Raw genomic sequence first — 26328 nt, forward strand, 5'->3', positions numbered from 1 at the left:
TCCTGTAAAGCAGTACTTACTTAGGTAATGATATCATACTGTTTTGTTTTATATTTTTCCTAAGAGCTAAAACGTCATCCTCTCTTCAGTGATGTGGACTGGGAAAATCTGCAGCATCAGACTATGCCTTTCATCCCCCAGCCAGATGATGAAACAGATACCTCCTATTTTGAAGCCAGGAATACTGCTCAGCACCTGACTGTATCTGGATTTAGTCTGTAGCACAAAAATTTTCCTTTTAGTCTAGCCTTGTGTTATAGAATGAACTTGCATAATTATATACTCCTTAATACTAGATTGATCTAAGGGGGAAAGATCATTATTTAACCTAGTTCAATGTGCTTTTAATGTACGTTACAGCTTTCACAGAGTTAAAAGGCTGAAAGGAATATAGTCAGTAATTTATCTTAACCTCAAAACTGTATATAAATCTTCAAAGCTTTTTTCATTTATTTATTTTGTTTATTGCACTTTATGAAAACTGAAGCATCAATAAAATTAGAGGACACTATTGAGAGTGAGCCACTAGCTTGATTTTCTTTCTCCTCTGATTTCAGTTCACTGTTCAGTTTAGCATTAAAATAATAAAATAATCATACAGTTCCATTTGATTGTAATTTACTTGCATATGATTACCTTCAAAAGCTGTGTTCTTGAGGGCAATCATTTAAGGCCATACTTGTGACCTCAGAAATGCAGCTGGAAGGCCGGGCGCAGTGGCTCACGCATGTAATCCCAGCACTGTGGGAGGCCGAGGCAGGCTGATCTTGAGGTCAGGAGTTCAAGACCATCCTGGCCAACATAATGAAACCCCATCTCTACTGTAAATACACAAATTAGCCGGGCATGTTGGTGGGCGCCTGTAGTCCCAGCTACTCTGGAGGCTGAGGCAGGAGAATCGCTGGAACCCAGGAGGAGGAGGTTGTGGTGAGCCAAGATCGTGCCACTGCACTCCAGCCTGGGCAACAGAACAAGACTCCGTCTCAAAAAAATAAAGGCAGCTGGAAAATTCCTTCACTTAGTAACTCCTTTGGGGAATAAGGAATAAACAAAAAGACTAAGGCTTTCACTTACTTTACTAATGATACGGTTTTGCCACCTTAATTTCTATTGGTGCGTAGTCCACAATATGTATTTGTTTAAAATGGTACTGGAGGACGGGTGCGATGGCTCATGCCTGTAATCCCGGCACTTTGGGAGGCTGAGGCAGGCAAGTCGCTTGAGGCCTGGAGTTTGAGACCAGCCTGGCCAACATGGCAAAACCTGGTCTCTACTAAAAATAGAAAAATTAGCCAGGTATGGTGACGCACACCTGTAGTCCCAGCTACTTGGGAGGCTGAGGCATGAGAATCGCTTGAACCCAGGAGGTGGAGATTGCAGTGAGCTGAGATCACATCACTGCATTTCAGCCTGGGCAACAGAATGAGACTCAGTCTCAAAAAAAAAAAAAATACTACTGGAACAATTAGGTGTGATATAATGTAGCAATTTGAATAGCTTGTTCAATTTTAATAGAAAATGTGATGCTTTACATCTTATTGTCATTTATTTAAAACATGCAACATTATCAGAAACAGATTGGTCCTTAAAAAACAAAACATAATTTTCTTTTGCTTAATAAATATAACTATCACAAGTACATTATCTGTCAACATCATTCTTTTCAACAAAGCGAGACCCCATTTCCGGGGGAAAAAAAACTTGTTCCTTTTGCACATCGGGTTTAGTGTTTTTACTTTCCATTACCATCCCAATCAACAGCCCTGTTGCAATGTAGTTGACAAAATGTACAAATTTAAAATGGTTACAGTGAAAGATACACCATTATAATTAGTGCTATATAACTGAATCCATGGGTTAATGGTTTTACTGAGCTTGTTTTAGTAATAACTACTTAGATTTAATGGTCACTTCTAGTAAAATGTTCAAAATACAGTTGTTCAAAACTTTGAATTACATCTTTCCCTTAAATTAGGCAAAAGCATAGAATTATCTATTATCCTTTTATGGTATTTGCCAGTAGTAGAAAGAAAAAAAGTTTGGGAATCAAACACAAATTGTTGAAATCACTGCTCTGCCACAATAAAAGGCCTCTGGCAGGTTAAACTGAGCTATTGATGACTCACTGTATAGTGGGGATTAATAGTGATTAATTTGGAGAGTTGGAATGAACAGAGTAGATTGAGGAACAAGCCAATTTAGTTGCTACCCAGGATATTAACCTTAACAGGGACTTGAAACATTACTGAATAATCGGGGAAATGTTCTCTGAGCATATTCCCAATGCACAAGACAATGGCCTTGAGTGGAAAGTTACACTGTTTACTAACAGACCTAGCATGTGAAGCTATAGTCACTTGAAATTCAGCCACAGGTAAGGCATGCTGTAATGGTATTTATTGGGAACAGGTGACTTATTATCTAAATTTATACCTGTCAAGATGTAGATTCAGACACTTGCTAGGGAAAAACCTAAGAGGAAAGAACAATGGGAAAAAGGGGATGGTTTTGACAGCTGATGTATATGTGTGCATGCACGTCTTTAAAAAACACCAACGGCCACCAATAGAAATCCACTCATCTTTTGCTATGAAGGAAATCAGAACATATCATCCTAAAATGCCTCTTTGACATAAAAATATTTTTGAGCTAAAGGCAGTTAAGAAGCAGCAAACTGAGGAAAGCTCTCGCCATCCCCCTGCCTTTCTGCCCAAAGGCAGGATATAACTTCTCCTTTGCTGGAGACAATTCTAGAGTCTTATCTACCAGGGACAGCACCAGAGGAATTGGCAAAGAAACCTTATTCAATTAGTTTCCTCCCACATACAGTGTTTGCCTTCCCAAAGGTTCCAGTCCTTGGAAGCCTAAAACCACTTTCCTTTGTCCTGTCATTTCTCTACAAATGTATTGTTCTTTGTTGGCCAGGCTGGTCTCAAACTCCGGACTTCGTGATCCACCCGCCTCAGCCTCCCAAAATGCTGGGATTACAGGCGTGAGCCACCCGGCCAGCTATATACAGTTTGTATTAATAAAAAATAATTTGTGGCTGGGCATAGTGGCTCACGCCTTTATTTCCAGCACTTTGGACAGCCAAGGTGGGATGATTGCTTGAGGCCAGGAGTTAGAGACTACCCTGGCCAACATAGCAAGACCCTGTCTCTATCTAAATTTTTTAAAAACCGTCATTCTCAGCAAACTATCGCAAGGATAAAAAACCAAACACCGCATGTTCTCACTCATAGGTGGGAATTGAACAATGAGAACACATGGACATAGGAAGGGGAACATCACACACTGGGGCCTGTTGTGGGGTGGGGGGGAGGGATAGCATTAGGAGATATACCTAATGTAAATGACGAGTTAATGGGTGCAGCACACCAACATGGCACATGTATACATATGTAACAAACCTGCACGTTGTGCACATGTACCCTAGAACTTAAAGTATAATAAAAATATATATATATATATATAAATAAACTTTTGTTTTCACAACGGCATAATGTTTATTGGATGAATTTAGAAAAAGAGTAAAAAGAAAAAATAAGTTGGTATCTGTTAAAGGAAAATGTTTTATTCTTACATGAAAAATGCAAAATAATAGATGTGACTTGTTTTCCTTTGGAGCTCCAAAATAAAAATATCAGTAAACACTTATCTAAAAAAATAAAATAATAATTGTTTTTTAGGCTGGGCATGGTGGCTTACGCCTGTAATCTCAGCACTTTGGGAGGCTGAGACGAGTGGATCACAGGAGGTCAGGAGTTCGAGACCAACCTGGCCAACATGGTAAAACCCCGTCTCTACTAAAAATATAAAAATTAGCCAGGCATGATGGTGCGCGCCAGTAATCCCAGCTGCTCGGGAGGCTGAAGCTGGAGAATTGCTTGAACCTGGGAGGTGGAGGTTACAGTGAGCCAAAATGGCGCCATTGCACTCCAGCCTGGGTGACAGAATGAGACTCTGCCTCAAAAAAAATTATTTAAAAATGTTTTGTCCCACCCCCATTAAATGTTAAACAAATCCAGAAATTATGTTTGAAGAATGTCCTGTTTATCTTGGCCCACCTATGTTAGAATTAAGTAAGATGAAGTACATAGCAAACATAAAAGGTGTTTAATAAAATGATAATTATTTGAACCCTAAGTACCCTACTGCCTCCTGGAATATGTACTTTAATTTTGGGTTCGGGAAGTGGTAACTATATAAAGCCTTACTATTATGCTCCAAAACATCTTGAAGGACATTCGGGTCTAATTCCTCTATTTGCTACAAAGAACTGTCTTATTTTTAGCCATTTATAAAAATGCTGAGAGTCCAGAATATAGTACAAATATATTTACTGTTTACACCAGGTCTTTCAATTAATACCAAGCCAACCATGGATGAGTCATTCTTTTAACTGTGTGGAAAGTGTATTGTACGGGACAACATTTGAAGGAAGGAGACTGAATAAAAGGCTTCTGCACCAGCCCACCTGGATTCAAGACATATTTTAGAGGTAGGAGCAACAGGACTTTACTGATATATGGGATGAGACAGGTGAGAGAATGGAAGAGCCACATTTGACACCTAACTTCTGGCTTGAGCAGTTGGGTGGATTGTGGTGCTGCACCCTGAACTGGAATGAGGGACAGGATGGGTAGACATACTAAGTTTGAGATGTCTGTGAGACACCCAAATAAAGAATTCAAGAAATCAGTTGGACACCTCCAAATAAAAATGGTATGTCTGCAAATTCTTTTACACTCTTCCTTCAACAGGTGAATGAATAAACAGAGGCACATCTATATAATGGGCTATTATTCAGCGCTAAGAAGAAATGAACTACAATGAAAAGACACAGATGAATCTTAAGTGCATATTACTAACTGGAAGAAGCCAGTCTGACAAGGCGACACACCGTATGATTCCAAATATACGACACTGTAGAAAAGGCACAACTATAGAGACAGTAAAAGGATCTGTGGTTGCCAGAAGTTAGGAGGGAAGGATGACAAGGTGGAGCACAGAGGATTTTTTAGGGCAGTGAAACTACTCTGTATGATATAATGGTGGATACATATTTTAAATTTGTCAAAACTCATAGGATGTACACTAAGAGTGAGCCCCATGGTAATGATATGTCCATGTTGGTTCATCAGATGAAACAAATGTACCACTCCACCAGATGTTGACGGTGGAAGAGGTTGTGCAGGTGGGGCGGGGGGAGAGGAGGGTAGAATATGGGAGCTCTACTTTCCACTTGATATTGTTGTAAACCTAAAACAGTTCTAAAAAAGTCTATGGCCAGATGCGGTGGCTCACGCCTGTAAGCCTAACACTTTGGGAGATCGAGGCAGGCAGGTCACCTGAGGTCAGAAGTTTAAGACCAGCCTGGCCAACATGGTGAAACCCCATCTCTACCAAAAATACAAAAAATTAGCTGGGTGTGTGGTGGTGGGTGCTAATGATCCCAGCTACTCAGGAGGCTGAGGCAAGGGGAATCACTTGAACCCGGGAGGCAGAGGTTGCAGTGAGCAGAGATTGCACCTCTGCACTCCAGCCTGGGTGACGAGAGGGAAACTCTGAATCAAAAAAAAATAATAACAATAAAGTCTATAAATAACCTAACAACGCATCTTAACTAGGAAAGCAAAAACAAACCCAAAATTAGTAGAAGAAATAATAAGATACAGCAGAAACAAATGAAACTGAAACTCCCCAAAATACAAAAGATTTTTAAAAATGAACTTGGTTTACTTTGAAAACAAAATCAACAAACCTTTAGCCAGACTAAGAAAAAGGAATACCCAAGTAAATAAAATCAAAGATGGAAAAGGAGACAGGACAACTGATACCGCAGAAATATGAAGAATCATCAGAGACTACTGGGAATAAATATATGCCAAAAAACTGGAAAACCTACAAGAAATGGATACATTCCTTGACACTTTTTTTTTAAGTCTACATCCAAAGTAGGGATTGTGAAAAAAAAAATTTATAATAATGAAAAAAAAAGTCTACTGGGGGCTGGAGATGGGGTGGCTTAAACACTCTCTCTCTCCTAGTTCCATGAAATAAATCCCAGAGAGTAACTGACTGCTGGTTCTATGCCCATCACTGTGATGTCACTGTGGTCAGGAGAATGGGATATAAGCTGACCAGGCTGAGTCACATGTCCATTACTGTGAGTCACGATGGGGCAGCAATGGGCATAGCTGGGTGTTCCATTTAGCAGCCTCACCAGAATCACTGGATTCTCGTGGAGGAGGAAGAGCGCTCCAAGGGAAGAGGGGAGGGGACAGAAGAGAGGGGAAAGGGTGACCAGTAAAATTTAAAAAATAACTGATACTCCCTTGCCTGATTTTATGTAGGTATAAAAAGTTCTCTTCAGGCTTGGCACAGTGGCTCACAGCAGTAATCCCAGCACTTTGGGAGGCCGAGGCGGGTGGATCACGAGGTCAGGAGTTCAAGACCAGCCTGGCCAATATGGTGACACCCTGTCTGTACTAAAAATACAAAAATTAGCCGGGCGTGGTGGCGGGCGCCTGTAATCCCAGCTACTCAGGAAGCTGAGGCAGAGAATTGCTTGAACCCAGGAGATGGAGGTTGCAGTGAGACGAGATCACACCACTGCACTCCAGCCTGCTGGGTGACAGAGTGAGACTCCGTTTCAAAAAAAAAAAAAGTTCTCTTCAACACATGTTAAAGAATTGAAACAAGTGAGGAAATTTCTCTATTTCTCTTTTTTTATGTTTTTCTTTCTTTTCTTCCTTCCTCCCTCCCTCCCTCCCTTCCTCTCTCTCTTTCCTTCCTTCGTGTGTGTGTGTGTGTGTGTGTGTGTGTGTGTGTGTGTGTGTGTGTGTGTGTGTGTGTCTTGCTCTGTTTCCCAAGCTGGAGTGCAGCGGCAAGTTAATCACCTGAGTTTGAGACCAGCCTGGCCAACATGGAGAAACCCTGTCTCTATTAAAAATACAAAAAAATTACCCAGGCAACGTGTCTGGCACCTGTAATCCCAGCTTGAGAGGCTGAGGCAAGAGAATTGCTTGAACCTGGGAGGCGGAGGTTGCAGTGAGCCGAGATTGCGCCACTGCACTCCAGCCTGGGCAACAGAGCGAGACTCTGTCTCAAAAGAGAGAAAAAAAAAAAGAACTGATAAGAACTGATACTACCCTTGATCTTAGCCAAAAGGCTAAGAAGTGATTAAATAATTTTGTATACAAAAATATAACTATGAGAGCCAGTTCTTGCCAATGAGATGTGAGGAGTCTCCTGTGTGGGACTTTCAAGAAAGTTACTGTTTCCTGATCAGATGGAAAAATACAACTGTTAATTGCTTTCTGCGCTTCACTCTGTGCCTGCCTATAATGTAGACATTAGATCTAAATGTACTTCACTATCTTGCAAGCATGAAGATAAAAGCTACACACTAAAGATGGGAGAAAGAAAGACAGGAGGAGCCTGTCTACCTAATGGCATTGTGGAAGCACCTTCCCGGCCCTGGACTTCTATCTCCAGACTTATATCGAAGGAAAAGACCCAGTTACTTGGTCAAGCCACCACAGCTGGGTTTCTATTACATGAAGCAGAATAATGATACCTTAAATGATACATCACTTTTATTACTCTGTAGAAGTTACAAGTCATAGATGGGTATTAAAAACAAAACCCAGGCCAGGCGCGGTGGCTCACACCTGTAATCCCAGCATTTTGGGAGGCTGAGGCAGGTGAATCACCTGAGGTTGGGAGTTCAAGACCAGACTGACCAACATGGAGAAACCCTGTCTCTACTAAAAATACAAAATATTAGCCAGGAGTGTGGCATATGCCTGTAATCCCAGCTACTCAGGAGGCTGAGGCAGGAGAATCACTTGAACCTGGGAGGTGGAGGTTGCAGTGAGCCGAGACGGCACCATTGCACTCCAGCCTGGGCAACCAGAGCGAAACTCCGTCTCAATTAAAAAAAAAAAAAAAAACCCTCTCATCATTTTCCACATAAGACCAGAGATGTGTATTTAAGATGGTTGATTAGGGCTGGGTGCGGTGACTCACGCCTGTAATCCCAGCACTTTGGGAGGCAGAGGCAGGAAGATCACCTGAGGTCAGGAGTTCAAGACCAGCCTAGCCAACATGGCAAAACCCCGTCTCTACTAAACGTACAAAAAATTAGCCAGGTGTGGTGGTGGGTGCCTGTAATCCCAGCTATGTGGGAGGCTGAGGCAGGAGAATCACTGGAACCTGGGAAGCAGAGGTTGCAGTAAGCTGAGATCACACCACTGCAATCCAGCCTGGGCGGCAGAGCAAGACTCCATCTCAAATAATAATAATAATAATAATAATAATAATAATAATAAGATGGTTGATTAGGGTTCATTGTGTGGCTGTGGGAAGCTATTTATTTGGTGTAAGAACTGAAACCGGCTGGGTGCAGTGGCTCACGCCTGTCATCCCAGCACTTTGGGAGGCCGAGGCGGGTAGATCACGAGGTCAAGAGATGGAAACCATCCTGGCCAACGTGGTGAAACCCCGTCTCTACTAAAAATACAAAAATTAGCCGGGAGTGGTGGCACGTGCCTGTACTCCCAGCTACTCGGGAGGCTGAGGCAGGAGAATCGCTTGAACCTGAGAGGCGGAGGTTGCAGTGAGCCGAGATCACGCCACTGCACTCTAGCCTGGCAACAGAGCGAGACTCTGTCTCAAAAAAAAGTAAAACCAAGAATCTGACTGGATTGCTAATATTCTCAACCAGATGACTAAATAAGTTAAATTTCATCCCAGTTTCTGATTTTTATCAAATTGTGTGGAATAGCATGGCTTTATTTTGAGAGTCATAATTACTTTATGTGCGACTACTACTTACTCTCATTGAATTCTTACCTAATCAATGGGCTAATAGTAACAAGTAATAAAAGCCATATCATTTCTCATTAACCTTTTATTTTTAACTTAGTTTTACAATAAACAGAAAAGAAGTTATCATTAAAAAAATACCATAGCTGTCAAGTTTAAATGAGGTTCTTATTAAACAAAGCAGGAACACTATATCCTATAATTACATCTTTACTTTTATATACAAGAACTGTGTGCAAAGTGCTTTTCAAACTATAAAATAAGACTTTGGAACAGGATAGAAATGGTTATCCCTAGGAGTTAGTTATCCCAGACTGCTTGTAATGATTCACAACTGCTTACACTCTTAATTTGCATTTTATTTATTTATATACTAAGAGAAAAGACACTTTTTACTGATACCAAATTGATATCTCATTTTTGAAAATAATCTTTGATCCACAGGTCTAAATGTTATTTTTACATATAAATTCAGTTGCTTGCTTCACTTTTTCCTAAATAAATAGGGAACACTTTTTTAAAAGCAAATAGTAGTAGATCCCTTTAGACAGACATATTTTAATCAGTATGGGATTAAATAATTAAAGTTATTTGAAAGAAAAAAATAAGGAAAAAGAGTTTGGGAAAAGTAAATTGTATTCTTATACTTTTCAGGCAAACAAAGAACCATTCTGTATACTAAAGACAGATTATTTCTTATTTAAAACACTGTGAACATATGATGTTAAACCCAACATCATACATCTTGAGAATGCTTAAAAATTATTTGCTACAGGCCAGGTGCAGTGGCTCACGCCTCTAATCCCAGCACTTTGGGAGGCCGAGGCAGGCAGATCACCTGAGGTTGGGAGTTTGAGATCAGCCTTACCAACATGGAGAAACCCCGTCTCTACTAAAAATACAAAATTAGCCAGGCATGGTGGTGCATGCCTGTAATCCCAGCTACTTGGGAGTGAGGCAGGAGAATCACTTGAACCCAGGAGGTGGAAGTTGCAGTGAGCCAAGATCACGCCATTGCCCTCCAGCCTGGGCAACAAGAGAGAAACTCCATTTAAAAAAAAAAATTATTTGTTACAAAGACTGCATCAAAGAAATCTTCAAAGCACAAGGTACATCTAAGTGAGCAGGAAGTTTTGGAAGGCATACAGGAAAAGTCTCCAAGGATCTAAATTGTAGTCTTCTTTTTGGTCTAGATGAGAGAGGTGGGGAAGAGGGACTTAAATTTCTGTTAGCTGGGCATGCCTTATTCCTATGGAAGCATTTGGCCCGTTAGCTTGCAAATCCCTCCAGTACTCCTGTGAAGTAGGTGTATCTAAAATAGTATACCCCGAAGGAAAAACTGAGGCACTAAGAGGTTAAGAGTCCAGTCTATATAGTTCATCAGTTGCAGAAAAGTGATTTTCGTGTGTTTCCTTTTTGACTGTTGTAAAAACAGTATAAATAAGTTTTCATTTTATATTTCAAAGCACCCTATGAAGCAGACACTAGATATCCTCAGTTAAACAAAAATGATTACAAAGGAATACATTTATATGATTGAATAAAAACCTGATTAATCATCTACAGGCTCAGAATACACTTTTAAACCTACATGAAGCTCATTCTTCACCATTTCCATCAGTGGGTTATGTCTAGCCTGCAAATCATTTGTAAAAACTCAGTCTGGTACATAGGACTCCACTTTTTAATAATGATGCCTGAACACCAAACTCAAGAGTTGTGAATGCCCAAGAAAGATTATGGGCAGCCCACAAAGTGAATATGACCATTCTTCCTGTGGTTTTCTACTACATGCCATGGCAACTCCGTGACTAAGATATAAAGTCGATTACATCTCATTTGAAATTCACTCCTGGTTTGCATTCTTTCTTTTATTTAATTTAGAAAATTAAAAATAATAACTTATAAATTTGATCTCATTATCACAATGGTACCTTTGAAAAGCAGCTTATGTTACTCTATGGAAGATAATCAGGTAAACATGTTACCAAATGATCATTAATAATTTAATGTCCTTCAAGTTCAAGGGCAGGGTAAATCTGTGTATACTACTTATAACCTAGTAGAGATTGATTATTCAAGTATCAGCAATATTAGTCCTTAAAATGTTATCGTTTGTGTAGTGCAAAATATATATGTGTATATATGTACACAAACTAAACTACTGGACAACAAAAAGCAATGTAATCATCACAAACTAAGATTTTCTTGTGAACACCACAATCCAGTTCATTCTGAGGTCATCCAGTTCCAGTAGTCTTCTTGAGGAAAACACCATTTTCCTCAGTTCAGTTTTCTTTAAAAAGAAAATAAAAACCAATTTCCTGTGAGTATGAATGCAAATAATTCTCTGGATGGTAACATAATAATAATAACATACAAATTCAAAATAAAACCATAATATTACCAACAGTCTTTATAGAACTACATCATATGACTTGCAGCCTGATAGGAAAGATCCAATTACAAGTGCTGAAATTACCAAACAGTTTTAAATTATTTATTTATTTATTTACTGGGGCAAAGTCTTGCTCTGTCGTCCAGGCTGGACTGCAATGGTGCCATCTTGGCTCACTGCAACCCTCCGCCTCCCGGGTACAAGCGATTCTCCTGCCTCAGCCTTGCAAGTAGCTGGCATTACAGGTGTGTGCCACCACACCTGGGTAATTTCTGTATTTTTAATAGAGACGAGGTTTCGCCATTTGAACTCCTGACCTCAGGTGATCTACCCACCTCAGCCTCCCAAAGTGTTGGGATTACAGGCGTTAGCTATGGCGCCCAGCCATCCTGGCCAGTTTTTAATAAATAATTTAAATGTACATTCATCCTCTCTTACTTTCTAGATTCTTACCCTTTTCTAATTGGCTATTACACAATTAAGATTTGTGGAAATGATTTCATAATTTTATCAAAATGGAAAAGTTATGAAACAAATGCGTAACAAAACTGTAAGAGGATAATAGATGTACGACCTGGAGTATTCACTTAATCAACATGGATTATGTTTCTATTACTTTCCAGGCTCTGTGCCAGGCCCTGGGCATTCAGAGATAAATGAGGCAGGCTCTCAGGCCTCAAGACAGCTCTCAGTTTAGGTGGTGGGGGAGGAAGAGGCATATAAATCCCAAACTTGGATATATATAATATGATGGTTTCAAAGACAGAAGAGTGAATGAGCTATCAGAAAAGGCTGAGCTTGTTAGCACCTTACACCATCACATATGATCTGAGTTCTGCTCTAAAATCTACAAACCCTCCCCAGCACTCAAGATGCCAAAATGCCTGAAACTCTCATAACAGATTGATTCCTCTCTGTAGAAATACCCTTATGCAACTCCTTTGGCAGGAGTGATATTTTAAACAATCAGATCATTCCTTATCCTCTGCAGAAATCCTCTTATGTACACCTCCTTGGCAGGAGTGACATTTTAAATAGTCAGATCAACTTTCACAAAACAGAAGGAGATCCCAGCAGCATAAAGAAAACAGGCCCCTGGAGGAAGAGAATTGAAATGGTTGACAAAGACAAGAGAGATGTGGGTTGTAAAGACAACCTGCCTGAGTGAGGTTTTAGCAAAAATGTTAGCTTCAGGGTGCCTGAACAATTAGCAACACTTATTAAGAATCTGCGGGATGCAGATTACTACACACAATCCTTTGCAGATTTATAGAAGGGCAGACAAAGCCGGAACTGTAGCTCACGCCTGTAATCCCAGCACTTTGGGAGGCCGAGGCGGGCGGATCACGAGGTTGGGAGATCAAGACCATCCTGCTAACACGGTGAAACCCCGTCTCTACTAAAAATTCAAAAAATTAGCAGGGCATGGTGGCACGCACCTATAGTCCCAGCTACTTGGGAGGCTGAGGCAGGAGAATCGCTTGAACCTGGGAGGCGGAGGTTGCAGTGAGCTGAGATCGGGCCACTGCACTCCAGCCTAGGTGACACAGCAAGACTCTGTCTCAAAATAAATAAATATACAAATAAATAAAAATTAAAAAAATTAAAAAGGGCAGAAAATTTGGTCTCGATGAACCCCCAATCTTTTTTTCTTTTTTTTTTGAGATGGAGTCTCGCTCTGTCGCCCAGGCTGGAGTGCAGTGGCGCGCGACCTCGGCTCACTGCAACCTCCACCTCCTAGGTTCAAGCTATTCTGCTGCCTCAGCCTCCTGAAGTGCTGGGATTACACATGTGAGCCACCGTGCCCAGCCTGAACTCCCAGTCTTCTAAGGTAATAGAGTGAACATAAATCACTGTCTTCAGAACTTTAGAATTGTTTTCAGGCTCTTTGTGAGGTCTTTCTGTTTTGTTTTGTTTTAAATCAACTTGCAAAATGGAGGGTATAGTGTGATAGAAGAAAAGTCACAGGAAACAACAGATAAGGGAACAGGAATAAATTCTGCCTTTCCCTTCGCCGCGGTGAATGCTGCTCTAGCTGCACTGCTGCAATTCCTTCCCCTCCTCAGAAGCCAGGGCCTGACTTTTTGTGTCAGTGCCTTCTGCCCTAGGCTCCATTTGGAGAATAATCCTCCTGAGACCCTCCCCACTCCCAACAAGTTTGTATTTATTACCTCTCTACTGAAGGCTGAATGTCCCCAAGAAGATTACATGATAGCAATTTAGGAATCTGGGCAGGCTGCTTAAGAAAACTGGTTAGACGAGACTATCCTGGCCGTCTCTACTAAAAATATAAACAAATTAGCCGGGCGTGGTGGCGGGCGCCTGTAGTCCCAGCTACTGGGGAGACTGAGAGACAATAGCGTGAACCTGGGAGGCGGAGCTTGCAGTAAGCCAAGATTACGCCACTGCAATCCAGCCTGGGCGACAGAGCAAGACTGTCGCAAAGAAAAAAAAAAAAGGAAAACTGGTTAGAAACATCCTTTCCTTCAAAGTAATGTCAGAGGCATGTGAACCAGAGCAACTCCATTTTGAATAGGAGCTGGGTAAAATGAGGCAGAGACCTACTGGGCTGCATTCTCAGGTTAAGCCATTCTAAGTCACAGGATGAGATAGGAGGTCGGCACAAGATACAGGTCATAAAGACCTTGCTGATAAAACATGTTGCAGTAAAGAAGCTGGCTAAAACCCACCAAAACCAAGATGGTGATGAGAGTGACCTCTGGTCGTCCTCACTGCTACACTCCCACCAGCGCCATGACAGTTTACAAATGCCACGGCAACGTCAGGAAGTTACCCTATATGGTCTAAAAAGGGGAGGCATGAATAATCCACCCCTTGTTTAGAAATAACCACAAAAATGGGCAATGAGCAGCCATTATTCTATCCCTCTACTTTCTTTTTTCTCTCTTTTTTTTTTTGAGATGGAGTCTCACTGTGTCACCCAGGCTGGAGTGCAGTGGCACGATCTCAGCTCACTGCAACCTCTGCCTCCTGGGTTCAAGCAATTCCCCTGCCTCAACCTCCCGAGTAGCTGGGATTACAGGTGCCTCCCGAGTAGCTGGGATTACCACACCCAGCTAATTTCTGTATTTTTAGTAGAGATAGAGTTTCACCATGTTGGTCAGGCTGGTCTCGAGCTCCTGACCTCAGGTGACCGGCTCACCTCGGCCTCCCAAAGTGCTGGGATTACAGGCGTGAGCCACCGCGTCCGGCCTATTCCTCTACTTTCTTAAACTTGCTTTCACTTTACTTTATGGACTTGCCCTAAAGTTTTTCTTGTGTGAGATCCAAGAACTCCCTCTTGGGGTCTGGATTGGGGCCCCTTTCTTGTAACAATAATAATTTAGGCCAGGCATGGTGGCTCAGTCCTGTAATCCCAGTACAAGAAAGGCTGAGGTGGGAGGATCTCTTGAGGGCAGGAGTTCAAGACTAGCCTGGGCATTATAGTGAGACCCCCATCTCAACAAAAATAAGACAGTTAGTTGACACCTGCCTATAGTCCCAGCTTCTCAGGAGGCTGAGGCAGCAGGATTGCTTGAGCCCAGGAGTTTGAGGCTGCAATGACCTCTGATTGTACCACTACACTGCAGCCCAGGCAAGAGAGTGAGACCTTGTCTCAAATAGATAAATAAATAAACAAAGTAATAGTTTAAGAGTAGTTTCTTAGACTTAACAGGTCTGCTTTCGGTATTTTAACTCAAGGATAATTTTAATAGCAGAGTTGTCAGGCTAGACAACCAGGGACAGGTGTTACCACAGGAGACTGTTCAGGGCCTATTTCTGAACAAGAAGTCTGCAGGTATTGTTCTTCCTATCACATACAGAATTTTCTTCTGATCCACTGCAGAGTGATAGCATAAGAAATCTCTTTTACTTTTAAATTTATATTATTCTACGCTAGAAAAAAAACCAGCAGACTTTATGTATTAATTTTAATGTTGAAGGAAAAGATATTTATTTTCAAAAGCTTATCACAGCTTGAGTGTGCTGGCTCATGCCTGTAATCCCAGCACTTTGGGAAGCCGAGGCGGCTGGATCACCTGAGATCAGGAGTTCAAGACCAGTCTGGTCAACATGGCGAAACCCTGTCTCTACTAAAAATACAAAAATTAGCTGGGCGTGGTGGCACATGCCTGTAGTTCCAGCTACTCAGGAGGCTGAGGCAGGAAAATCACTTGAACCCAGGACTCAGAGGTTGCAGTGAGCCGAGATCACGCAAGTGCACTCCAGCCTCCAGTCCTATATGTTTTATACATATATAGGACTACCCTATATCTATCTATCAGACATATCCTAGTATGTCTGTGTCCACATGCATATTTATTCAATAAAATGAAAGCTTTTCCATGTCTTATGGTACTTCCGTTTGCCATCTTGCCCAAAAAGGGATTCAGTCATAGACTCAACACACATTTATTGAGCACCTACTACATGCCAGACACTGTTTTGGGGATGAGCTATAGGATGATCCCTATTATGAGTAGGGCACACCCTCTACTTGCCCACACTTTCCCCATCCTAATCAGATTTCTAGACCTTTCTTCTCATCTCTAACACAGAACCTATCTCTTCCAAACCATACAACTGCTCTCTGGTCTTCATTCCTTTAACTATCAGATTAAAAATTGCTAAACAATGTTAGATTAAAAGATGCCTAAATCCCCTCAAGGCTAAAACTTATTTCCACCATATCAAATATGGCCCTACTTCCAACCACAGTTAATCTATTACATATATAAGCAAACAATATGTAAAAACACTATACCTCGTCAAAATGAAGTTGCACAGTGCTACAGAATTTGCAGTTTGGAAGGATCAAACAGTTAACATACAGTAAAAAACTTATAAAGGTTCAATAATAACCAAGTAGAAAATTAAAAATAGGAAAGCGTTTCTCCATTCAGAGACATCTGTGAACAGCTAAAAGGGATATTTAGGAGAAATAGTGAACAACCTTTTACAAAACTTCTATTAGTAAAGAACATTTTAAACATTTTTAGAAAAACTCCAATTTTATGTGACTGTTGATGTAGAGTGTAGTTTGTTTTTTCAATCTTTAATGAAGTAATAAGCTGCTTCCATCTTAAGCATAAAATAAATTATTAACCAAAGTAAGCTTTAGAGTTTTTTTTTTAAGCAAATTCCTCTACTCTCCAACTCCCAACTTTCTACAACGGAAACATGAAAAGGAACTTTGAGATGCATTAAAAATATGTAAACATCTCCCCATAAGCAGCAGTGGCACTGAGCCCTGCTGCTTATATCCAGCATTACTACATATCTAACAAACGGTTGGTTCTTCTTTCCTATTACCAGGGATATTTAAATGTAAAACACTGTAGAGCACTAAACCCAACCATCATAGGAGGAATTGAAAATGTATAGAAGAAGAAAAGAAAGGATTTAAATTCAGGTCTATATCCTCTTTTTTTTTTTTTTTTTTTTTTTTGAGACAGTCTCACTCTGTCACCCGGGCTGGAGTGTAGTGGCATGATCATGACTCAGGGCAGCCTCAACCTCCTGGGCTCAAGTTGATCCTCCCGCCTCAGCCTCCCGAGTATCTGGGACTAGAGGTGTGCACCACCAACCTGGCTAATTTTTTTATTTAATTTTTTAAATTTTTTGTGGAGACAGTCTCACTTTCTTGCCCAGGCTGTTCTTGAATTCCTGGGCTCAAGCAATCCACCCATCTCAGCTTCCTAAAGTCCCGGGATTATAGACATGAGCCACTGCACCTGGCAACTTTTTAGATTTAAGGATTTTCTTGAATCCAAGGGTTTGGCCTCAGGTTATTCCTAACATGGACAGACTCAGAATTACTTTCAGGGATTCCAATCTATTATTTTCTGACCTATTTGAGGTACCTTGTCATCCCAAACTGGAAATCTGGCCCTTAAATTAAAGTAACCTCCGGATGGGCACAGTGGCTCGTGCCTGTAATCCCAGCTCTTTGGGAGGCCAAGGCGGGCAAATCACCTGAGGTCAGGAGTTTGAGACCAGTCTGGCCAACATGATGAAACTCCATCTCTACTAAAAATACAAAAATTAGCTGGGCATGATGGCACATGCCTGTAATCCCAGCTACTTGGGAGGCTGAGGCAGGAGAATCGCTTGAACCTGGGAGGCAGAGGTTGCAGTGAGCTGAGATCGTGCCACTGCACCCCAGCCTGGGCAACAAAAGCAAAACTCTGTCTCAAAAAAATAAATTAATAAAATAAAATAAATTAAAAAAATAAAAGTACCTCCAAATTCCTTTTTAATTAATTGTTTAAAATAGAGACAGCATCTCCCTATGTTGCCCAGGCTAGTCTCGAACTCCTTTGCTCAAGTAATCCTCCTGCTTCGCCCTCCCCAAAGTGCTGGGATTATAGGTGTGAGCCACCGTGCCTTTCAGAACACTGTTTCCTCACAAACCATAAAATTTAAAATGCATATAAACCGCACCCAGTGACATATGCCTGTAGTCCCAGCCACTCAGGAGGCTGAGGCAGAAAGGATCACTTGAGCCAAGGAATCTGAGGCTTCAGTGCACATGATCATGCCTGTGAACAGCCACTGCCCTCCAGCCTGGGCAACAAAACGGGACCCAGTCTCAAAAAAAAAAAAAAAAAAAAAAAAAAAGATGCATGTAGTCATTTTTGTGTGGTTGCCTAAATCAAAGGTGTATAAATCCATCAGATGCTCTCAAGTGAAAATGTTTTTAAGTCTAACAAGTACCTAGGAATCCACAAGATATCATTTCCAAGGCAGTTTCAGTCTCAGGATAAATATAGAATGTTCACTATGACGATGTATCTATAAAATGGACCTAGCATCCCTTAATTGCTGCTGAAAACTCTGTCTACTATAGGTTATGAGAGTTATACACCATTTCAAATGATGAAACTGGTCTTACCTTCTCCTTCTTTGATAGTATAAATACACCAACCACTGTGCAATAAAAGGCCATATGATGGCAAACGTTAGCACACCAGGAGACATCTCGAAGGGCCACCAAGATGGTCTCTGAGAAAATACAATAAGCTTGTCACCAATCTATTCAATACTGCATGTATAAACTTAAAAACATACCTAATTCATAATTTTGAAAGTAGAAAAGAAAATTAGTAACAAATCTCACTCCTGCTGAAAGAAGAAAGATATTCTGCATTTCAGAGTATAATTCAGGAAACAGGCTTTCAGGAGTAGTTCAGACTTAAATAAACACAAAACAAGTATTTTTTAACTGCAAAGGTAGATTTCATTTGGAATGATTTAAAGATTTTGTATATTCTAAATGTATTGTAACATATGAAACCATGGGCCGGGCGCGGTGGCTCACACCTGTAATCCCAGCACTTTGGGAGGCCGAGGTGGGCAGATCACGAGGTCAGGAGATCGAGACCATCTTGGCTAACATGGTGAAACCCTGTCTCTACTAAAAATACAAAAAATTAGCCGGGTGTGGTGGCGGGCACCTGTAGTCCCAGCTACTCGGGAGGCTGAGGCAGGAGAATGGCGTGAACCCAGGAGGCAGAGCTTGCAGTGAGCTGAGATCGCACCACTGCACTCCAGCCTGGGCAACAGAGCGAGACTCCGTATCAAACAAAAACAAAAACAACAACAAAAAACATATGAAACCCTGGCATTTAAATTTTTTAAAAAATGTCTTACCTGTGAGGTGGGCTGAGGAGCAGTCTGCAATGTTGATGTTGATGATTTTGCCTGTAAATGCAAATGAAGGTGACTTAGCCTTGAAAAAATGAAAAACACAGTAATTATTCTATTTCCTATCTTTTTTTAAAAGGCAGAAATATTGAGGTTTTTTTTGGTTGCTTTTGTTTTCTTTATGTATAGAACAGTTGGAACGTAGAAATATTAGTTTATTCAGTATTTTTCTGCTAACTATACTTTGATTATCCTGAAACTAATACTTACCAAAGGACAAGTTCCCTAAAACAGCAAGCCAAACAATACTTTAATGCTTTATATTTTTAGTTCAAATTATATAAGACTATGAAAATAAAACCTCAAATCAATCTAAACTCTTATGTTTACAGTCTTATTACATTACCTATTCAACTTTTCTTTTTGAGACACGATCTTGGCTCACTGCAACCGCTGCCTCACAATTAGCTGGGAGGCAAGCACCACCACACCCAGCTAACTGGTGTTGGCTGGGTGTGGTGGCACCATAGTTGTCACTATGTTGGCCAGGCTGGTCTCGAACTCCCGACCTCAGGTGATCCACCCACCTCAGCCTCCCAAAGTGTTGGTATTATAGGCATGAACCACCATGCCTGGCCCAATTTATTTCTTCTATGAGTCATCCAAGTGAATTATGCAAATTTTAAGGAAAAAAGTCCTTAAAATCTTTTGAACTTTATTTTATTATTGTATTGTATTTTTGTAGAGATGAGGTCTTGCTCTGTTGCCCAGGCTGGTGAGATCGTGGCTCACTGCAGCCTTGAACTCCTGGGTTCAAGCTATCACCCTGCCTCAGCCTTCTGAGTAGCTGGGCCGACCACCAAGCCTAGCTATTTTAATTTTATTTTATTGGTAGACACAGGGTCTTGCCATGCTGCCTAGGCTGGTCTTGAACTCCTAGCCTCAGGTTATCCTCCTGCCTTGACCTCCCAAAGTGCTGAGATTATAGGTGTGAGCCATGGGCCTAGCCTAAAGTTTTCTATCACAGTGAAAAAAGTAAATGTCTAAGAAAATACATCAAAAGAATTTTAGCAGAATTTCAATATCACTAAAGATATTGAATATATGTAAAATATTCTTTAAAAAAAAAAAAACATAGAGCATGCCAGGCTCAGTGGCTCACGCCTATAATCCCAAGCACTCTGGGAGGCTGAGGTGGGCTGATTACTTGAGCTCAGGAGTTTGAGACCAGCCTGGGCAACATGGCAAAACTCTGTTTCTACAAAAAGTACAAAAATTAGCCAGATGTGGTGGTGTGCACCTGTAGTTCCAGCTACTTGGGAGGCTGAGGTGGGAGGATGACTTGAGCCCAGGAGGTGGAGTTACAGTGAGCCAAGGGCAGTGACGTGATCTAGGCTCACTGCAACCTCCGCCAACAGGGTTCAGGTGATTCTCATGCCTCAGCCTCCTGAGTAGCTGGGATTACAGGCATGCACCACCACGCCCAGCTAATTTTTGTGTTTTTAGTAGAGATGGGGTTTCACCATGCTGGCCAGGCTGGTATCGAACTCCTGGCCTCAAGTGATCCACTCGCCTCGGCCTCCCAAAGTGCTGAAATTACAGGTGTGAGTCACCGCGCCCGGTCATAAGGCACTATTTTAAACTCTTTCCTTATACACCTTCTTGAGGATCTGATGAAGACAACAAGTCCTCTCCCATCAAAAATGCAAGATCAAAGACAAATGTGCATAGTATTTTAGGGTGTTCATGGACTCCTGGAAGTCTAGGAATTTGCAGTCTGATTAATAATAATATGTAACTGAGAGGCCGGGCACGGTGGCTCACGCCTGTAATCCCAGCACTTTGGGAGGCTGAGGCGGGTGGATCACGAGGTCAGGAGATCAAGACCACCCTGGCCAACATGGTGAAGCCCCGTCTCTACTAAAAATACAAAAATTAGCTGGGCATGGTGGCGTGCGCCTGTAGTCTCAGCTACTCAGGAGGCTGAGGCAGGAGAATCGTTTGAACCCAGGAGGTGGAGGTTGCAGTGAGCCGAGATCCCGCCACTGCACTCCAGCCTGGTGACAGAGTGAGACTCCATCTCAAAAAAAAACCCATAATAATAATAATAATAATAATAATAACATGTAACTGAGAATTGTGGAGATACATATAATTTTTAAAAACATGATAGCTTGAGTAACTTACTGATTAGGTAAAGAGAAAGATATTCACAGTGGTTGTTTAGGAAAGCCTGCTATCAGTTTCTTTACATGAGTCACAATTAATGTATTTATCTTGCAATGGAAGCATGTCTTCTTTGATTAATCCCTACAAATACTTCTTAACATCTGTTACAGCATGATGCTTCAATGCTGTATAATGTTTGCAGCTAGGTCAGACAGTCAATGCTAATTACCTCTTTACTCTCTCTAACAAATGTTACTCAAGAAGCGGCAGCTGAGTCCCGGGATTATCATAGGCCACAGTTGAAACTATAAATCAAGCTGTAGTATCTCTTCCTATGAACCCTTTTCATTTTATTTATTTATTTATTTACTTACTTACTTATTTATTTATTTGAGACAGAGTCTCACTCTGTCACCCAGGCTGGCGTGTAGTAGTGTGATCTCGGCTCACTGAAACCTCTGCTTTCTGGGTTCAAGGGACTCTCCTGCCTCAGCCTCCTAAGTAGCTGGGATTACAGGTATGCAACACCACACCTGCCTAACTTTTGTATTTTTAGTAGAGACAGAATTTCACCATAGTGGCCAGTCTGGTCTCAAACTCCTGAACTCAGGTGATCCACCCACCTCGGCCTCCCAAAGTGTTGGGATTACAGGCGTGAGCCACGGCGCCCAGCCATTTTTCTATTATTTTACCATTTTTCTATTATTTTAAGCAGTAATTAGTTTCTGGGTCAGTCTTTTCTTAAACAATATTTTCAAAACCAAGTTCTATTTTCTAAAAAAATCAGTAAAATACATTAATTTATGTCAATATGATCAACGCAGACTCCACATTGCTTTCCAGAATCAATAAGCACAAGAAGGTATGATACATTTGGAAGTTTACCTGCAAAGCAGTCAGCGTTTCCAGTTTCTGCAGTCTCTGAAGGACATTCTGCATGTCCTCCTGCAGTCTCATCAGCACGAGGGCGATCTGCTCATTGAGGCTGCCTCGGGACCCTCTGTCGGAGCCCCAGCGCTCCCCATCACCTCCACTTCCCACCTGCCGGCCCTTGGTTCCTTCGCTCAAGTGTTGCATCCTATGTCCTATTTTAAGAGGCAAAAATAAGCTTGTTTTAAATAATTCTTATACAAGTAAAACTGTGTTTTATTCATTTTCCTCTGTTATTTCTTTGAGATCTAAATCTCCAAAGTGTGGCCAGGAGCTGTGGCTCACACCTGTAATCCCAGCACTTTGGGAGGCTGAGACGGGCGGATCACCTGAGGTCAGGAGTTCAAGACCAGCCTGGCCAACATGGCAAAACCCTGTCTCTACTAAAAATACAAAAATTAGCCAGGTGTGGTGGCATGCAATTGTAATCCCAGCTACTCAGGAGCCTGAGGCAGGAGAATTGTTTGAACCCTGGAGGCGGTGGTTGCAGTGAGCCGAGATCATGCCACTGCACTCCAGCCTGGGCGACAGAGCGATACTCCATCTCAAAAAAATAAAAAAAAACTTCCAACGTGGAGTAGAAGCAGTCAGGAAGTACATAAAATAAACTGCTGAGCTCAAAGAAATTGATTTGTAAACTTCTATTCATATTGATATATTCTAAAATTTTTTGCTAAGGTTCTATAATATACATAATATACTAATACATTATGCAAATAATTCACAAATAATACACATATTTGGAGTGCCTGCTCAAAAATTCTTTACTAATAAGGTAACCAGACTGAAAAATTCAAAGACTTTTTTTTTTTTAAATAGAGATGAGGTCTCCCCATGTTACCCAGACTGGTCTCGAATGCTTGGGATCAAGCAATCCACCTGCCCTGGACTCCCAAACTGCTGTGGGATTACAGGTATGAGCCACCACTCCTGGCCCTGGAGACTACTTCTTTAGGTATTAAAAGTTACAGTAAAGAGCTACGTTTGCCTTTTTGGTCATTTTTGTTTGTTTGTTTAATTACATTATAAATCTCCAAAGGTATTTGTCTGTTTGTTTGTTTCTGAGACAGTCTCACTCTGTTGCCCAGGCTGGAGTGCAATGGCTCACTGCAACCTCCGCCTCCCAGGTTCGGCCGATTCTCCTACCTCAGCCTCCCAAGCAACTGGGATTACAGGCGCATGCCACTACGCCCGGCTAATTTTTGTATTTTTAGTAGAGACGAAGTTTCACATTGTTGGCTAGGCTGGTCTTGAACTCCTGACCTCAAGTGATCTGCCTGCCTTGGCCTCCCAAAGTGCTGGGATTACAGAAGTGAGCCACCACGCCCAGCCATCCAAAAGATTTTAAATGTGTTCTTCTTATTCTAAATTGTGTGTTCCTTATAGAAATCTCACTACTATTAAGATTTTGTTATATATTCATCCATTCTTTTCTCTGGGCATATATTTACAAAATTGGCATTACCCCTTATACATGATTTTATGTCCTAGTTTTAAAATCATATTATGAACACTTATCTGCCTCATTAAATTTTATTCCAAAAACACTTAAATGGTTACATAAATTCCCTAGTTAGGTTATGAAATAATTCACTCAACCATTCTCCACTTTTGGATAGGTAGGATGAGTTCAAATTTTTTCTGTTACAAACAAAATTGCAGTGAATGGTTTTGTATGTAAATACTCGTCCAAATTTCCCCTGATCTCTTTAAGACAGATTCCAAAAAGAATCATTACTGGATTAAAGGATAACAACTGGGTCAAGGTTCCCAAGCTATTTATCAGAAGGCTGAAACAGTGTTATATTGCAGAGTATAAAAGATACTATTGTGTTACCCTAGCCTTGTAGGAATGGAATATTACAAAATTTTACATTTGCTAATATAATGGGCAAGTTTTGTTTTGAATAATAAATAGGAAATTGTCTAGCTCATTGCCCTTTAGCATCCTGGACCTCCACTGCAGCAGAATTCCCATAGCTGAACCTGCATCAAGCATTGTTGGGGATTAAAAGGGAAACCGAATTAGAGCTATTTGCCAAGTTAAACCCCAAAGAGGGCACTGAGGTGCCTGATGCTGTTTTCAAGACTTCTATTGTTGTATCTAAAGGAGGTAAATTTTGAGATCAGTCTGGGCAACATAGTGAGATGCCCATCTCTACAGAAAAACTTTTTAAATTAGTCAGGCGGCCGGGCACAGCTCACGCCTGTAATCCCAGCACTTTGGGAGGCCGAGGTGGGTGGATCACCTGAGATCAGGAGTTCGAGACCAGCCTGGCCAACATGGTAAAACCCCATCTCTACTAAAAATACAAAAATTAGCCAGGCATGGTGGTGGGTGCCTATAATCCCAGCTACTCAGGAGGCTGAGGCAGGAGAATCACTTGAACCCGGGAGGCAGAGGTTGCAGTGAGCCGAGATTGCACCACCGCACACCAGCCTGGGCGACAGAGCGCGAGACTCCATCTCAAAAATAAGTAAGTAAATCAATAAAGGTGAGGGAAGAAAAAAGGTAATCCACACCTCTTCCTCTTCTAACATTAGAGAATTCGTCAGTTTCTCCGCCTCGCTTCTCCCGGTGTGGTGCTCCGCTGTTATTCCTGCCATCTTCTCCTCCATGCTTGACTTCACCTTTTCCTTCAACTGCAACCACCTGCATATTCCCAATGTTGCCATTTCCAGGAGGTACTTGAATATCTTCACGAAATCCAGAATTTTCCATGGGTTGACTGGAATGACCACCCAAGTAATACTGAAATGGTCCATTGTTGGACGTAAAGCTGTCTAAAGACTACAAATTAGAAATGACACTTAGTTAAAAGCTAGAAATGTGAATTATACACCACAAAGTTTTTACAGCAATAGGAGAAATACTGTTTTCCTAAAATGTTCTTTCATGTTATTATTGGAAATATTCTTTTTCTAAAAAATGTCTTCAATTCATATGCTGCTTCCTACCTGCAGGGAAGAAATAGGACAAGAATGATTTGTCCATGAACAGAGTCAAGAAGCTTGGGTAGTAAATTGTTTTGTTTGTTTGTTTGTTTTTGAGATGGAGTCTCGCTCTGTCACCAGGCTGGAGTTCACTGGCACGATCTCGGCTCACTGCAACCTCCACCTCCCGGGTTCAAGCAATTCTCCTTCCTCAGCCTCCCGAGTAGCTGGGATTACAGGCACGCACCGCCATGCCTGGTTAATTTTTGTATTTTTAGGAAAGATGGGGTTTCACCATGTTGGCCAGGATGGTCTCAATCTCCTGGCCTCATGATCCGCCCACCTCGGCCTCCCAAACTGCTGGGATTACAGGAGTGAGACCCCACGCCCGCCCAGTGAGTTGTTTTTGTGAGTCAGTTATTAAAGAAACATCTACATTTCTATGCTTACCTTATTCTTAGAGATTACTACCTAAATTTTTTTTTAAGTCAAAGCAAGCTTATTTAGAAAGTAAAGGAATAAAGAATGGCTACTGTGTAGGCAGAACCTAAATGTGTTTTTAAAAGAACCCACCTAAGACATCGATGGATGACAACCTATAATTAACTGGACTTGATGAAGGTGGTGATGAGGTGAGTTGTATCTTATCTAAGGTTTCCTTCAGGAAGGGACATCTGAGTTAGGGTATAAAGGGTATATAAGAGTCCTCAGTGAAGAGGGAGGATGTACAAGTGGGGGTGGGGGTAGGAAGGGACTTGACACATTAGAGAAACAGAGAGAAGGCCAGGGTGGGTGGTGAGCAACGACCAAATAGGAGAGTGGTGTTAACAGAGGCCAGCAAGGGGCCGGCATGGTGGCTCACACCTGTAATCCCAGCAGTTTGGGAGGCCAGGGTAGGCAGATCACTTGAGGCTAGGAGTATGGGACCAGCCTGGCCAACATGACGAGACCCCGTCTTTACTAAAAATACAAAAATTAGCCAGTCAGGGCGGCACATGCCTGTAGTCCCAGCTACTTGGAAGGCTGAGGCACAAGAATCACTTGAACCCAGGAGGTGGAGGTTGCAGTGAGCCCAGATTGTGCCACTGCACTCCAGAAGCCAGGTCAGACAGCCCCTTGAGCTTTAGTCCATCAACTGATTGAGAGAGAAAACAGGAACAAAACTAGAATGTAGCAGCTGGATATTTACTGAGATTAATCTCTATCTGGTCCCTTTCATCAACCTTCCCCAAATATCTCTTTTTTAAAAAGAAAAAAATAAAAGGGAATCTGAGTTTTTCATCCTTTTCATTTTTCACTAATTTCACTCATTCTCAGTTTGGCCTCCTTATCATTATTCTTCCAATTTATGCTGCTTTTTTTTTTTTTTTTTGAGACAAGTTCTGGCTTTATAGCCCAGGCTGGAGTGCAGTGGTGCG

The 26328-nt window shown here is 41.5% G+C and overlaps 2 protein-coding genes and 1 pseudogene across 65 annotated transcripts in view; 1 reads left to right on the forward strand and 2 right to left on the reverse strand.

Moving 5' to 3' along the window:
* MASTL (microtubule associated serine/threonine kinase like) overlaps nucleotides 1–1639 on the forward strand; it is a 33475-nt gene extending 31836 nt beyond the window's left edge. For all 20 annotated transcript variants that reach the window (NR_135469.2, XM_017016853.3, XM_047425916.1 and 17 more), the window contains one exon: nucleotides 65–1639. Coding sequence is in view for 19 of the 20 variants with exons in the window: in XM_017016853.3 (XP_016872342.1) it covers nucleotides 65–222 (158 nt within the window). In the remaining variant the exon portion in view is untranslated. The remainder of the gene's footprint in view (nucleotides 1–64) is intronic.
* The window catches only part of ACBD5 (acyl-CoA binding domain containing 5), a 59274-nt gene that overhangs the window by 3477 nt on the left and 29469 nt on the right, over nucleotides 1–26328 (reverse strand). For 32 of the 45 annotated variants that reach the window (NM_001301253.2, NM_001352580.2, XM_017016894.3 and 29 more), the window contains 5 exon segments: nucleotides 24500–24767; nucleotides 21932–22131; nucleotides 18884–18934; nucleotides 18126–18235; nucleotides 8900–11128 (listed from right to left, as the gene is read on the reverse strand). In NM_001301253.2, the coding sequence (NP_001288182.1) occupies nucleotides 11116–11128; nucleotides 18126–18235; nucleotides 18884–18934; nucleotides 21932–22131; nucleotides 24500–24767 (642 nt within the window). In that variant the 3' untranslated portion in view covers nucleotides 8900–11115. 45 annotated transcript variants of the gene reach the window in all.
* RNU2-24P (RNA, U2 small nuclear 24, pseudogene) lies at nucleotides 7044–7186 on the reverse strand (annotated as a pseudogene).

This window comes from Homo sapiens, chromosome 10 (assembly GCF_000001405.40).
Source record: "Homo sapiens chromosome 10, GRCh38.p14 Primary Assembly".
Taxonomy (NCBI): domain Eukaryota; kingdom Metazoa; phylum Chordata; class Mammalia; order Primates; family Hominidae; genus Homo; species Homo sapiens.